This window comes from Homo sapiens, chromosome 18, assembly GCF_000001405.40.
Source record: "Homo sapiens chromosome 18, GRCh38.p14 Primary Assembly".
Taxonomy (NCBI): Eukaryota; Metazoa; Chordata; class Mammalia; order Primates; family Hominidae; genus Homo; species Homo sapiens.
Genome location: NC_000018.10, coordinates 13,159,778 through 13,172,918, shown reverse-complemented (window position 1 = coordinate 13,172,918; position 13,141 = coordinate 13,159,778). Strand labels below are relative to the sequence as shown.

Sequence of the window (13,141 nt, the reverse complement as noted above, 5' to 3'; positions counted from 1 at the left end):
TTGATAAATTTGATTTAAAGACAGCAAATACGCCTTTTCCTTCATTTTTTTCTATGCTGCATATAATGCAGGCATACATTTTATTTTTGATAAGATGTAAATTTGTTTGTGTTTTTAGGTTTAAATTCCCCAGTTCTTTTCTCTGTCTTTTTTTGTTTTATTTTCAAAGCTATACACAATTTCACACATACCATTATGATCTAGATATATTTACCAAGACATTTAAACATGTATATTTCCGGTTTTCAAATCCCTATTAGCAGCCAGGCACTGTGGCTCGTGCCTATAATCCCAGCACTTTGGGAGGTTGAGGCTGGTGGATTGCTTGAGGTCAGGAGTTCGAGACCAGCCTGGCCAACGTGGTGAAACCCCATCTCTACAAAAAAATATGAAAATTAGCTGGGCGTGGTGGTGTATACCTGCAATCCCAGCTACTCGGGAGTCTGAGGCAGGAGAATTGCTATAACCCAGGAGGCGGAGGTTGCAGTGAGCTGAGATTGCACCACCGCACTCCAGCCTAAGCAACGAGAGAAACCCTGTCTCAAAATAAATAAATAAATAAATAAATCCCATTAGCTTCCTAAATAAAATATCCAAGTATCATTATTAGTAATATTTATTTGTTTTATAAATTTATTTGTATTTTTATTTTGTATTTCCCTAGGTTTTTGGGAAACAGGTGGTTTTGGTTACATGAGTAAGTTCTTTAGTGGTGATTTCTGAGATTTGGTGCACCATCACCCAAGCAGTGTACATGGCACCCGATTTATAGTCTTTTATCCCTCACCCCCTCCCCCCCATCCCGATTCTCCCGTGTCCATTGTATCCTTCTAATGCCTTTGTTTCCTCATAGCTTAGTTCCCACCTATAAGAACATACGGTGTTGGGTTTTTCCATTCCTGAGTTACTTCACTTAGAATAATGCTCTCCAGTTCCATCCAGGTTGCTGCAGATGCCATTATTTCATTAATTTTTATGGCTAAGTAGTATTCCGTGGTGTATATATAACACAATGTCTTTATCCACTCGTTGATTGATGGGCATCTGGGCTGGTACCATATTTTTGCAATTGCAAATTGTGCTGCTATAAACATGTGTGTGCAAGTATCTTTTTCTTATAATGACTTCCGTTCCTCTGGGTAGATACCCAGTAGTGGGATTGCTGGATCAGATGGTTTCAGTTCTTTAAGGAATCTCCACACTGTTTTCCACAGTGGCTGTACTAGTCTACATTCCCACCAACCATGTAAAAGTGTTCCCTTTTCACCGCATCCCCACCAACATCTTTTTTTTTATTATTTCTTTTGTATTATGGCCATTCTTGCAGGAGTAAGGCAGTATCGCATTCTGGTTGTGTTCTTTTTGTTTGTTTGTTTGAGACAGAGTCTCAATCCGACACCCTGGCTGGAGTGCCGTGGCACGATCTCAGCTCACTGCAGCCTCCACTTCCCAGGTTTAAGCATTTTTCGTGCCTCAGCCTCCCGAGTAGCTGGCATTACAGGCGCCCACCACCATGCCCAGCTAATTTTTGTATTTTTAGTGAAGACAGGGTTTCACGACGTTGGCCAGGCTGGTTTTGAACTACTGACCTCAAGTGATCCTCCCGCCTTGGCCCCCCAAAGTAGCATTGTAGTTTTGATTTGCATTTCCCTGATAATTAGTGATGCTGAGCATGTTTTCATATGTTTGTTGGCCATTTGTGTATCTTCTTTTGAGAATTGTCTATTCATGTCCTTAGCTCACTTTTTGATGGGACTGTTGATACTTTTCTTGCTAACTTGTTTGAGCTCCTTGTAGATTCTGGATATTAGTCCTTTGTCAGATGCATAGATTGTGAAGATTTTCTCCCACTCTGTGGGTTGTCTGTTTACTCTGCTGATTGTTTCTTTTGCTATGCAGAAGCTTTTTAGTTTAATTAAGTCCCATCTATTTGTCTTTGTTTTTGTTGCATTTGCTTTTGGGTTCTTGGTCATGAAGTCTTTGCCTAAGCTAATGTCTAGAAGGGTTTTTCCAAGGTTATCATCTATAATTTTTATGGTTTCAGGTCTTAGATTTAAATCTTGATCCATCTTGAGTTGATTTTTGTATAATGCAAAAGGTGAGGATCCAGGTTCATTCTTCCACATGTGGCTTGCCAATTATCCTAGCACGATTTGTTAAATAGGGTGTTCTTTCCCCACTCCATGTTTTTGTTTTCTTTGTCAAAGATCAGTTGGCTGCAGGTATTTGGGTTTATTTCTGGGTTCTCTATTCTGTTCCATTGGTCTATTTGCCTATTTTTATACCAGTACCATGCTATTTTGGTGACTATGGCCTTGTAGGATAGTTTGAAGCAGATAATGTGATACCTCCAGATTTGTTCTTTTTGCTTAGTCTTGCTTTGGCTATGCAAGCTCTTTTTTGGTTCCATATGAATTTTAGGATTGCTTTTTCTAGTTCTGTGAAGAATGATGGTAGTATTTTGATGGAAACTGCATTGAATTTGTAGATTGCTTTTGGCAGTATGATCATTTTCACAATATTGGTTCCACCCATCTATGAGCATGGGATGTGTTTCCATTTGTTTGTGTCATCTATGATTTCTTTCAGCAGTGTTTTGTAGTTTTCCTTCTAGAAGTCTTTCACCTCCTTAGTTAGGTATATTCCTAAGTATTTTATTTTTTATTTTTATTTTTTGCAGCTATTGTAAAAGGGATTGAATTGTTGATTTAATGCTCAGCTTGGTTGCTGTTGGTGTATAGCAGAGCTACTGACTTGGGTGCATTAATTTTGTATTCTGAAACTTTGCTGAATTCCATCAGTTCTAGGAGCTTTTGGGGGGAGTCTTTAGGGTTTTCTAGGTATATGATCATATCATCAGCAAACAGTGACAGTTTGACTTCTTCTTTACCAATTTGGATGCCTTTATTTCTTTCTCTTGTCTGACTGCTCTGGCTAGGACTTCCAGCACTATGTTGAATAGAAGTAGTGAGGGTGGGCATCCTTGTCTTGTTCTATTCTCGGGGGAGATGCTTTCAACTTTTCCCCATTTAGTATTATGTTGGCTGTGGGTTTGTCATTGATGGCTTTTATTACATTCAGGTATGTCTCTTCTATGCCTATTTTGCTGAGGGATTTAATCATAAAGGGATGCTGGGTTTTGTCCAGTGCTTTTTCTGCATCTATTGAGATGCTCATGTGATTTTTGTTTTTATTCTGTTTATGTGGTGTATCACATTTATTTACTTGCATGTGTTAAACCTAAACCATCCCTGCATCCCTGGTGTGAACCCACTTGATCATAGTGGAGTATCTTTTTTACATGCTGTTGGATTCAGTTAGCTAGTATTTTGTTAAGGATTTTTGCATCTATATTCATCAGGGATATTGGCCTGTAGTTTTATTTTTTTGTTATGTCCTTTCCTGGTGTTGGCATTAGGGTATTACTGGCTTCATAGAATGATGTAGGGAGGATTCCCTCTTTCTTTGTATTTTGGAATAGTGTCAATAGGATTGGTATCAATTTTTCTTTGAATGTCTGATAGAATTCAGTTGTGAATCCGTCTGATCCAGGGCTTTTCTTTGTTGTTGACAATTTTTTCATTACCATTTCAATCTAGCTGCTTGTTCTTGGTTTGTTCAGAGTTCCTATTTCTTCCTGGTTTAATCTAGGAGGGATGTATATTTCCAGAAATGTATCTATGTCCTCTAGGTTTTCTAGTTTATGCACATAAAGGTGTTCATAGTAGCCTTGAATAATCTTTTGCATTTCTGTGGTATTGGTTGTAATATCTCCCATTTAGTTTCTAATTGAGCTTATTTGGATCTTTTCTTTTCTTGGTTAATCTCACTAATTTAGTCTATCAATTTTATTTTCCAAAGAACTTTTCAGCTTTTTGTTTCATTTATCTTTTGTGTTGTTTTTGTGTTTCAATTTCATGTAGTTCTGCTCTGATCTGTGTTATTCCTTTTCTTGTGCTGGGTTTGGGTTTGGTTTGTTCTTGTTTCTCTACTTCCTTGAGGTGTGACCTTCGATTGTCTGTGCTCTTTCAGACTTTCTGATGTTGGCATTTTTTAAGGCTATGAACTTTCCTCTTATTCTGCCTTTGCCATATCCCAGAGGTTTTTTTGTTTGGTTGGTGTTTTTGTTTGTTTGTTTGTTTGTTTGTTTGAGACAGAGTCTGCTCTGTCGCCCAGGCTGGAGATCAGTGGTGAGATCTCGACTCACTGCAACCTCTGCCTCCCAGGTTCAAGCAATTATCTGCCTCAGCCTCCCCAGTAACTGGGATTACAGGTGCCCACCACCATGCCCAGCTAATTTTTTTGTATTTTTAGTAGAGACAGGGTTTCACCATTTTGGCCAGGCTGGTCTTAAACTACTGACCTCGTGATCCACCTGCCTCGGCCTCCCTAAGTGCTGGGATTACAGGCGTGAGTCCCAGAGGTTTTGATAGGTGGTGTCACTATTATCGTTCAGTTCAAATAATTTTTTAATTTCCATCTTGATTTTATTGTTGACCCAGTGATCATTCGGGAGCAGGTTATTTAATTTCCATGTATTTGCATGGTTCTGAGGATTCATTTTGGAATTGACTTCCAATTTTATTCCACTGTGGTCTAAGAGAGTACTTGATATGATTTCAATTTTCTTAAATTTATTGAGACTTGTTTTGTGGCTTATCATGGTCTATCTTGGAGAATTTTCCATGTGCTCATGAATAGAATGTATATTCTGCAGTTGTTGGGTAGAATGTTCTGTAAATATCTGTTAAGTCCATTTGTTTTAGGATATAAATGACTTTCTGTCTTGATGATCTGTCTAGTGCTGTCAGTGGATGTTGAAGTCCCCCACTATTATTGTGTTGCTGTCAATCTCATTTCTTAGGTCTAGTAGTAATTGTTTTATAAATTTGGGAACTCCAGTGTTAGGTGCATATATATTTAGGATTGTGATATTTTCCTGCTGGACAAGTCCTTTTATCATTATATAATGTCCCTCTTTGTCTTTTTTAACAGCTGTTGCTTTAGAGTTTGTTTTGTCTGATACGAGAATAGCTACTCCTGCTCACTTTTGGTGTCCATTTGCATGGAATATCTTTTTCCATCCCTTTACCTTAAATTTTTGTGAGTCCTTATGTGTTAGGTGAGTCTCTTGAGGACAGCAGATAACTGGTTGGAGAATTCTTATCCATTCTGCCATTCTGTATCTTTTAAGTGGAGCATTTAGGCCATTTACATTCAATGTTAATATTGAGATGTGAGGTATTATTCCATTCATCGTGCTATTAGTTGCCTGAATACCTTGTTTTGTTTTGGTTTTTTACTGTGTTTTTGTTTTATAGGTCCTGTGAGATTTATGCTTTAAGGAGGTGTTATTTTGGTGTATTTTGAGGATTTAAGATTTAGAGCTCCTTTTAGCAGTTCTTGTAGTGCTGGCTTGGTAGTGGCAAATTCTCTCAGCATTTGTTTGTCTGAGAAAGACTGTATCTTTCTTTCATTTATGAAGCTTAGTTTCACTGAATACAACATTCTTGGGTGATAATTCTTTTGTTTAAGGAGGCTAAAGATAGGGCCCCAATGCCTTCTAGCTTGTAGTGTTTCTGCTGACAAATCTGCTGTTAATCTGGTAAGTTTTCCTTTTTAGGTTACCTGGTGCTTCTGCCTCACAGTCCTTAAGATTCTTTCCTTCATCTTGACTTTAGATAACCTGATGACAATGTGCCCAGGCAATGATTTGTTTGCGGTAAATTTCCCAGGTGTTATCTGGGCTTCTTGTATTTGGATGTCTAGATCTCTAGCAAAGCTGGGAAAGTTTTTCTTGTTTATTCCCTCAAATATGTTTTCCAAACTTTTAGATTTCTCTTCTTTCTTGGGAACACCAATTATTCTTAGGTATAATTGTTGTTTAACATAAGCCAAAACTTCCTTGAGGCTTTGTTCATTTTTTATAATTCTTTTTCCTTTGTCTTTGTTGGATTGGGTTAATTCAAAAACCTTGTCTTTGAGCTCAGAAGTTCTTTCTTCTGCTTGTTCGATTCTATTGCTGAGACTTTCCAGTGCATTTTGTATTTCTCTAAGTGCGTCCTTTATTTCCAGAAGTTGTGATTGATTTTTATTTATGCTTTCTATTTCACTGAAGATTTTTTCCTTCATATCTTGTATCTTTTCTTTATTTCATTAAATTGGACTTCACCTTTCTCTGGTGCCTCCTGGATAGCTTAATAATGGATCTTCTGAATTCTTTTTCTGGCAATTCAGGGATTTCTTCTTGGTTTGGATCCATTGCTGATGAGCTAGTGTGATCTTTTGAGGGTGTTAAAGAACCTTGTTTTGTCATATTACCAGAATTGTTTTTCTGGCTCCTTCTCATTTGGGTAGAGTATGTAAGAGGGAAGATCTGGGGCTCAAGGGCTGCTATTCAGATTCTTTTGTCCCATAGGGTTCTCCCTTGATGTAGTGCTCTCCACCTTCCCCTAGGGATGTGGCTTTCTGAGAGCTGAATTGCAGTGGTTGTTATTTCTCTTCTGGATCTAGCCTCCCAGTGGAGCTACCGGGCTCTAGGCTGGTACTGGGGGTGTCTGCACAGAGTCCTATGATGTGAACCATCTTCAGGTCTCTCAACCATGGATAGCAGCACCTGCTGTGGTGGAGGTGGCAGGGGAGTGAAATGGACTCTGTGAGGATCCTTAGTTGTAGTCTGTTTACTGCACTAGTTTTGTGCTGGTTGGCCTCCTGCCAGGAGGTGGCATTTTTCAAGAGCCCATCTGCTGTGGTAGTATAGGGAGGATCAGGTGGCGGGCAGGGCCCTAGAGCTCCCAAGACATTATGTCCTTTGTCTTCAGCTACCAGGGCAGATAGAGAAAGACCATCAGGTGGGGGCAGGATTAGGTGTGTCTGAACTCAGACTCTCCTTAGGCGGGGTTTGCTGCGGCTGCTGTGAGGGATGGGGGATGGTTCTCAGGACCATGGCCTTCTGTTCCCATGAGGATTATGGATGCCTCCGCTGTGTCACACAGGTCACCAGGGAAGTGAGGGGAAGCTGGCAGTTACAGGCCTCACTCAGCTCCTACACAGCCCAAAAGGCCAGTCTCACTCCCACTGTGGCGCCCCCATCCCCCACAGGACAGCACCGAGTTTGTTTCCAGGCAGCTGATGAACAGGACTGAGAACCTGCCCCAGGCTACCAGCCTCCCAGCTGAGAAAGCAAGCAGGGCTTTCAGGTTTCAAGCTTCCCCGCCTGCCGCGGCTTCTGTGCTGTGTCTGCGCTCCGATTCACCCGTCGCCCGAGTTCTGTCCGGGAAACTTCGCGTTTGGTTAAAATTGTTACAAAGTTCAGCTGGAAGTTTCCTTCTCCTTTGGTCTTTCCCCAGTTCCTCTGGCAGCCCTCCCTAAGGACCTCTGGAAGATGAAGTCAGAAATGGCTTCCCTGGGGACCGAGGGAGCCCACAGGGCTCTACCTACGGCTTCCTCAACCCCTGTATTTTGCACGGCTCTCTAAATTATCTCAGTTCCAGGTAAGGTCGATTCCTTCTCCTGTAATCTGGACCTTCAGTCTCCCCAGTGAGGGTGTGTGTTCAGGGGTGGATGATCCCCCTTTCACACTTTGGGTACCCACAGTTTGGGGGCTGTCTCCTGGGGCCTGCAGGAGCAATCCACTTCTTTCAAAGGGTCTGTGGATTCTCTCGCTTTCCTGGTAGGTTCCTGCGGTAGTTCTTGGAGCAAAAGTTCACCGGTGTGAGTCTCCACACGCTGCGCTGTCTGTCCGGGTGGGAGCTGCAATTTACTCCTGCCTCCTATCGGCCATTTTATTTGACCAGATGTAAACTTGTTTTGTCTTGCATAGTCCAGATAACTTGATCTTTCTAAACTTCCTATATTGATGTTTCTGTTCAAATAAACTAATAGTACCTCCATATAAATTTTTAGATTTAGAGAAGTGTAAATAAAATGTGTTCAACTAAATTGAATTAAAATTCTAACAAACTTTGTTATACCAATAGTAATTATGTTCTGTGGTATGTTATTTCACACATAATTTCCAAAGTCCTTAATAACCTTAAGACCTTGGATTTATGTTGACTGAATTAACAATCTCTAAATACTCATTTCTTCTTATTTTTATATGCTGTAGTGTAGCTACACCTTTGGGCCGTGTTAACAGATGTTCAGCTTTGCCACTTTGCTGTACGTGTTGCAAGGGGTCTTCTTCTATGTGTTTGTGAACTTCTCTGGCTGTGGTGGACACGGAGGTGCCGGGCCAGGTGCCCCTTTGAGGAAGGACTTGCTGCCGGCGCCCTCATCAGCAGCACGGAGCCGCCTCACCTGAGACCCACATGGCCTGGGCCACACCTGCGACCGAGCCCCACCAGCCAGCCAGCCAGGACCTCTCACTGTCAGCTCTGGCCTGGGTGTCCCCCGCTGGGCCGGCCAAGGCTTTCTCTGGGCTGAATTGTGCCTTGACTTCTCCCTTTGCCCAAGTTTTGTGCCTTAAAAACCGTCTGCACCCCTAGCTCCATCTCAGCAATTGCTTCCAGAGGCCCCCACCTTCGGGGAGACGCTGTCTGCTAAAATGGCTTGTGTGACAACAGATGGGTCTCTATCCCCACCTCCCAGCTCTACCTGCAAATGGAAGTTATTGGCTTGGGTTAACATTTATAACTAACATTAGTGACTGAGACTACACTAGGAGCAATAGTGGCAAAGAAATATGATCGTGCATTCAATGGGATGTGCTTTTGTTCACCAAGGATAAAGAGATTCGTTTTGTCTGAAGTGTTTGTTTGCTCCAGAATGGGAAAGAGAGTAGTGAAAGATACAACTTGAATGAAAATAGAAAATTATGGAAGTTTTAAAGAAAGTAAACCTTATTTTCCTTGATTCCAAATATCTGCAAATAATGAGTCTGAAAAAAAAAAACAATGAAATGTGTTACAATTTGGGCAAAATTTGTTCATACTTAATGGGTTTGTTCGTAAGAAAAAATAAAAGCATATGAATCGTTTGCTGCCAAATATTACATTAATGCCAGACTAGAATTGGGTCTTGTCTCTGTTAAAATGACAGAAGTGGTCTTGTAGTATTTAGTGTGATATTCAAGAAGTGATAATAGGCCGGGTTTGAGAGCCTTTGGAAGTGGGATTGAGTGGATGCATGAAGGAAATCTGAGCTTCGCCACTGTTATTTTTTGTGTTTTCTTTGTGATCAGTATATGATGAAGCCTTTCTCCTTCTTCTGGATCTGTCTTTAACCTTTAGCTTAATAGACTATGCTTTTGCAAGCTGAAACAAAACATTCTTTAATATCTTACTCATCTCTTAGGATTTGTAAGTATTTTTCTTGAGGTTCTTTGCTTTAATTGGCATTAATTGCAAAGATTCAATAAGAATCTGTCCTTTTTTTATCAGGATATAATTGGACAAATTGTGTGACCAAATTGTTTGGATTTTTATAGCGTTATATTTGAGAAAAACTTGTGTGTGATCAGGCGTGATAATTGCCTCATGGAGGACCAAAGGTGGAACTTCGGACGGGTGTCCACGCCCCTAAGGCCCTCCCTCTGCCCAGAGCAGGCTGAGGGCCCACATGTGCATGGGAAACAGCGGGGACAGGGGCAATGTTTAGCCCTGGGAGGGGAGGCGTGGGGCGGGCTCAGCAAATGTCTTCAAAGAGGTAAGGCTGGAGGAACCCTTCCTGGCATTCTCTGTCGTTGCACATGGGCCACACCCTGAGGGGGCTCCTTGCCCTTCAGTGTTCCCCACCGGACACATCTGGGCGATCCAATTTTCTGCTCCTTTGAATTGGGCTCCTCTCCTGCAGACCCTCTGTCTGCCGTTTGTGCTGGGACTCCCAGAGTGCCGGCTTCCCCACGGGGCAAATCGGATCAGCCACTTGCCTCAGAAAAACCCTTTCTCATACTCGGGAGGCTGAGGCAGGAGGATCGCTTGGGCCCAGGAGTTCCAGGCTGCAGTGAGCTGTGATCACACTGCTGCACTCCAGTCTGGGCAACAGAGCCAGCTTGACGTGGCCTCCCGGCCTTTCCTCTCTCCTGCTGGACTCTGACGCTTCCGTTCCCACAAGGCATGGGGCTTCACACACTTTTAGGCCTCAGGGCTTGTAGTGCCCACCTCCCACCCGGTGTGCCCCTTCCTTGGCACAGACATTTCCAACTCCCTCACCAGGCTGCTGCTGTGGAAGGGGCTTTGTGACCCCACGGCCTCCGTGGCTGTGCTTTTACCCCATCCAACTTATAACCATGGTGTGTGGCTCAGTCCCCTGCCTCGATTGTCTTCTTATTTTGGTATCCAGCAAAGAGCACAACCTATGGAAAATGCTCACAACTGTGCTAAAAAACAAACAAATCAAATCTGGTCTAAGTCTGTCATTTTGCAACCGGAAAAAAGAAGTTGTTAAGAAGTACTGTGACTTGCCTGAGATCCTACAACCAGTTAGTGGCAAAGCTGGGACGAAATCCTAACTCTCTCTGGGCTTCTCTTAACACCTGCAATTCCTGGTGGCTGTGGGGACCAAGCTGGAACTGATGACCTCGGTTCCAGGCAGGTGCATGGGGTCTGCGTGTGGGAGAAAGCTGCTTAAATAGCAGTGATGCCAGGGCACAAAGCCCGACAGGTGGGGGACCCAGGTCCCACCCTCAGCCCTCCCCACTGCCTCCACCTCCTGGGATGTGTGATTTAGGCAGAGCCTTCAGCGCTGCAAGGCACGGGGTGGTGCTGGCTGTCTGGGGGGTGGGAGGAAGAGGTGGAGGCGGAGAAGAGGATGGTGATGATAGATAATAGCTATCACCCAACATAAAAAATGCTTGCCTTCCAAAAGTGGGTCTCTCACTCCTGGGACTATTTGGCCAAAGGCCAAGACCCCCGTGGGAGGCAGGGAGGGGATTATTTCCCTAGGGAGAGATCTGGGCCACGTGGACTCTGCACCCCCTTCAAAGCCAGGGTTCCCACTATGACTGGACAGACAGACCTGAGTACACTGCCATGGGGAGGCTGCTTGGAGCTGAGAGGGTCAGGCTCCAAGGAAAGGCTGACTTCACGTCCCGCTGCATGGTTCCACAAAGGGGTCCCAAGGAGCCCGTGCTCACAAGGCTTCGAGGTCATCTCAGCTCTTACAGAACAGCCACGCATCCCCCGGACACCCAAGATCTATTCTTGAGACCTTTTTATGACTCAGGGTATTTGAGCCAGCAGGCAGCTCACTCTCTCTGTGATTCCCCATGCACCATGTGCCAACGGTGACATGCTGACTCCAGGGCTCCAGGTTGCCTCTGGCAACCAGCACCATGCAGAGGGTGTCACTATGAATGACAACACTGAAGGGACAGTGCCTCCCAACAAACGGAACGCACACAAACATGAAATTCAAACCCCTCGTCTCGACATGCTAAGCCCTGTCCTCATTGGTGTCTAGAATGGGGTGGTGATACCCTGAGGACAGAATGCGTGGCTCCCGTAGCTTGGAGTCCAAACACTGCTGTTCCCTGCCGCTAACCTCTGGCACCCTGCATTCTCCTCGGAAGGTACTTTTGTACACAGACCAAGAAACAGTCGGTCTAGGGGGCAGGCCAGCCATCAAGGGGGAGAGAAAAGAGGCCTAGAGGAAGGATGTAGAGACCTGGGCTCTGGTACTGGATATGCCCCCACCTCCTGTGCAACTGGAGCAGGTCACTTAATCAGACCTTCAGCTTCCTTATCTGGGAAGTGGGGATCTCATCTCACTTTGCAAGATTATTCAAGTCAAATTATCATCTCCTTAGCCAATACTGTAAGCAATGCACACTTGTTTAAGGATTTACTGCCTGGTAAGCAGCCCTTTTACTTTTTTCTCTGAGAGGATTTTAGTCCTTTAGCCATTGAAAGAGCCAACCCTGGATTACCCTTGCCAAAATAAACCACTTCCTACTCAAAAACACATCTCACTTCACACCACTGAACTGGACACTTAAAAATGGTTAGAATGGGCTGGGCGCAGTGGCTCACACCTATAATCCCAGCACTTTGGGAGGCCGAGACGGGCAGATCACGAGGTCAGGAGATCGAGACCATCCTGGCTAACATGGTGAAACCCCGTCTCTACTAAAAATACAAAAATTAGCCAGGCGCGGTGGCAGGCGCCTGTAGTCCCAGCTACTCGGGAGGCTGAGGCAGGAGAATGGCATGAACCCGGGAGGCGGAGTTTGCAGTGAGCCGAGATGTTGCCACTGCACTCCAGCCTGGGCAACAGAGCGAGACTCCGTCTCAAAAAAAGACAAAAAAACAAATGGTTAGAATGGTAAATGTATGAGGTGTATATTTTACCACCCCTGCCACACACACACATCACTTCCTATTCTCGCATCCCGCCCTGGAATATTCCTCCCATTCCTGCACTGTTGGAGTCCCCCAGCAGCTGGCTCAAGCCCTGCCCTCCGATGGTGCCTCCCCTGCCTGCATCAGGCCACAGGCCCTTCCTTCATCCCCACATTGGGACACCTCTCACCCAGTGACTGCAACAACTGGGGACCCTTTGCATCCCCAACAAGAGTGCCACCGCCAGAACGCATAGACTGGGACCCCTAGAACACTGGTCAGCAGCACTTTATGCAAGAGAGACACTCAGTGTATGTTTGGCAATTGGCCGATTTCTCTGTTCACAGTGAAGGAAGGGGATGAGGCTCAGGCCTGCGAAGGACATGACTCCTTAGAAGCAGTGGTCCTCTAGCTCTTCACCATGTGAATTTTATTCACTGCTTCCCTGTGACGCTCATATTTGTTTTCTATTGCTGTCATATAAGTCACCACAAGGAAGTGGCATCACCAACATGGTGGAATAAGACGCCTCAAGTGTCATTCCTCCCAAGACACTGACTTAACAATATATGGTCCAAAAAGTCTGCATGAGAACTCCAGAAACCATTTAAGAAGTGGCAGCACCCCAGGCAAACTCAAAGCCAGAACAGCCACTTTGAAAAAGGTAACAAAAGCCATTTTATTTCAACCCCAAAAGCCATTCCTCAAAGCAGCACAATCAGCAGAAAGCACCCCGTTCACAGCTTCTCCGTCAAGGGAAAAAGAGAAGACTGGAGCATGTGTCCAACAGTCTAATTTTCAGGGGCTGCCTGAGGCAACGGTTTTTGTCTCACTTGAATTGGATCACTGATGGAGCTGAT

General features: G+C 44.1%; 1 long non-coding RNA gene across 1 annotated transcript, besides 3 other annotated features; it reads left to right on the top strand.

The window, feature by feature from the left end:
• Positions 6,544 to 7,115: an enhancer, noted in NCBI's record as "H3K27ac-H3K4me1 hESC enhancer chr18:13165803-13166374 (GRCh37/hg19 assembly coordinates)". NCBI's record gives its function as "activates a minimal SCP1, AML or CMV promoter by ChIP-STARR-seq in naive H9 embryonic stem cells {active_cell/tissue: H9 hESC(naive)}" and the evidence as "EXISTENCE:reporter gene assay evidence [ECO:0000049][PMID:30033119]".
• Positions 6,571 to 6,756: a silencer, noted in NCBI's record as "fragment chr18:13166162-13166347 (GRCh37/hg19 assembly coordinates)". NCBI's record gives its function as "represses an EF-1alpha promoter that drives an FKBP-Casp9 reporter gene in an ReSE screen in K562 erythroleukemia cells {active_cell/tissue: K562}" and the evidence as "EXISTENCE:reporter gene assay evidence [ECO:0000049][PMID:32094911]".
• Positions 7,116 to 7,689: an enhancer, noted in NCBI's record as "H3K27ac-H3K4me1 hESC enhancer chr18:13165229-13165802 (GRCh37/hg19 assembly coordinates)". NCBI's record gives its function as "activates a minimal SCP1, AML or CMV promoter by ChIP-STARR-seq in naive H9 embryonic stem cells {active_cell/tissue: H9 hESC(naive)}" and the evidence as "EXISTENCE:reporter gene assay evidence [ECO:0000049][PMID:30033119]".
• LOC124904254 (uncharacterized) lies at positions 7,198 to 8,980 on the top strand. The gene is made up of 2 exons (XR_007066299.1): positions 7,198 to 7,493; positions 8,111 to 8,980. It is a non-coding gene; the product is annotated as an uncharacterized LOC124904254 (long non-coding RNA).
• Positions 8,981 to 13,141: the final 4,161 nt, after the last annotated feature.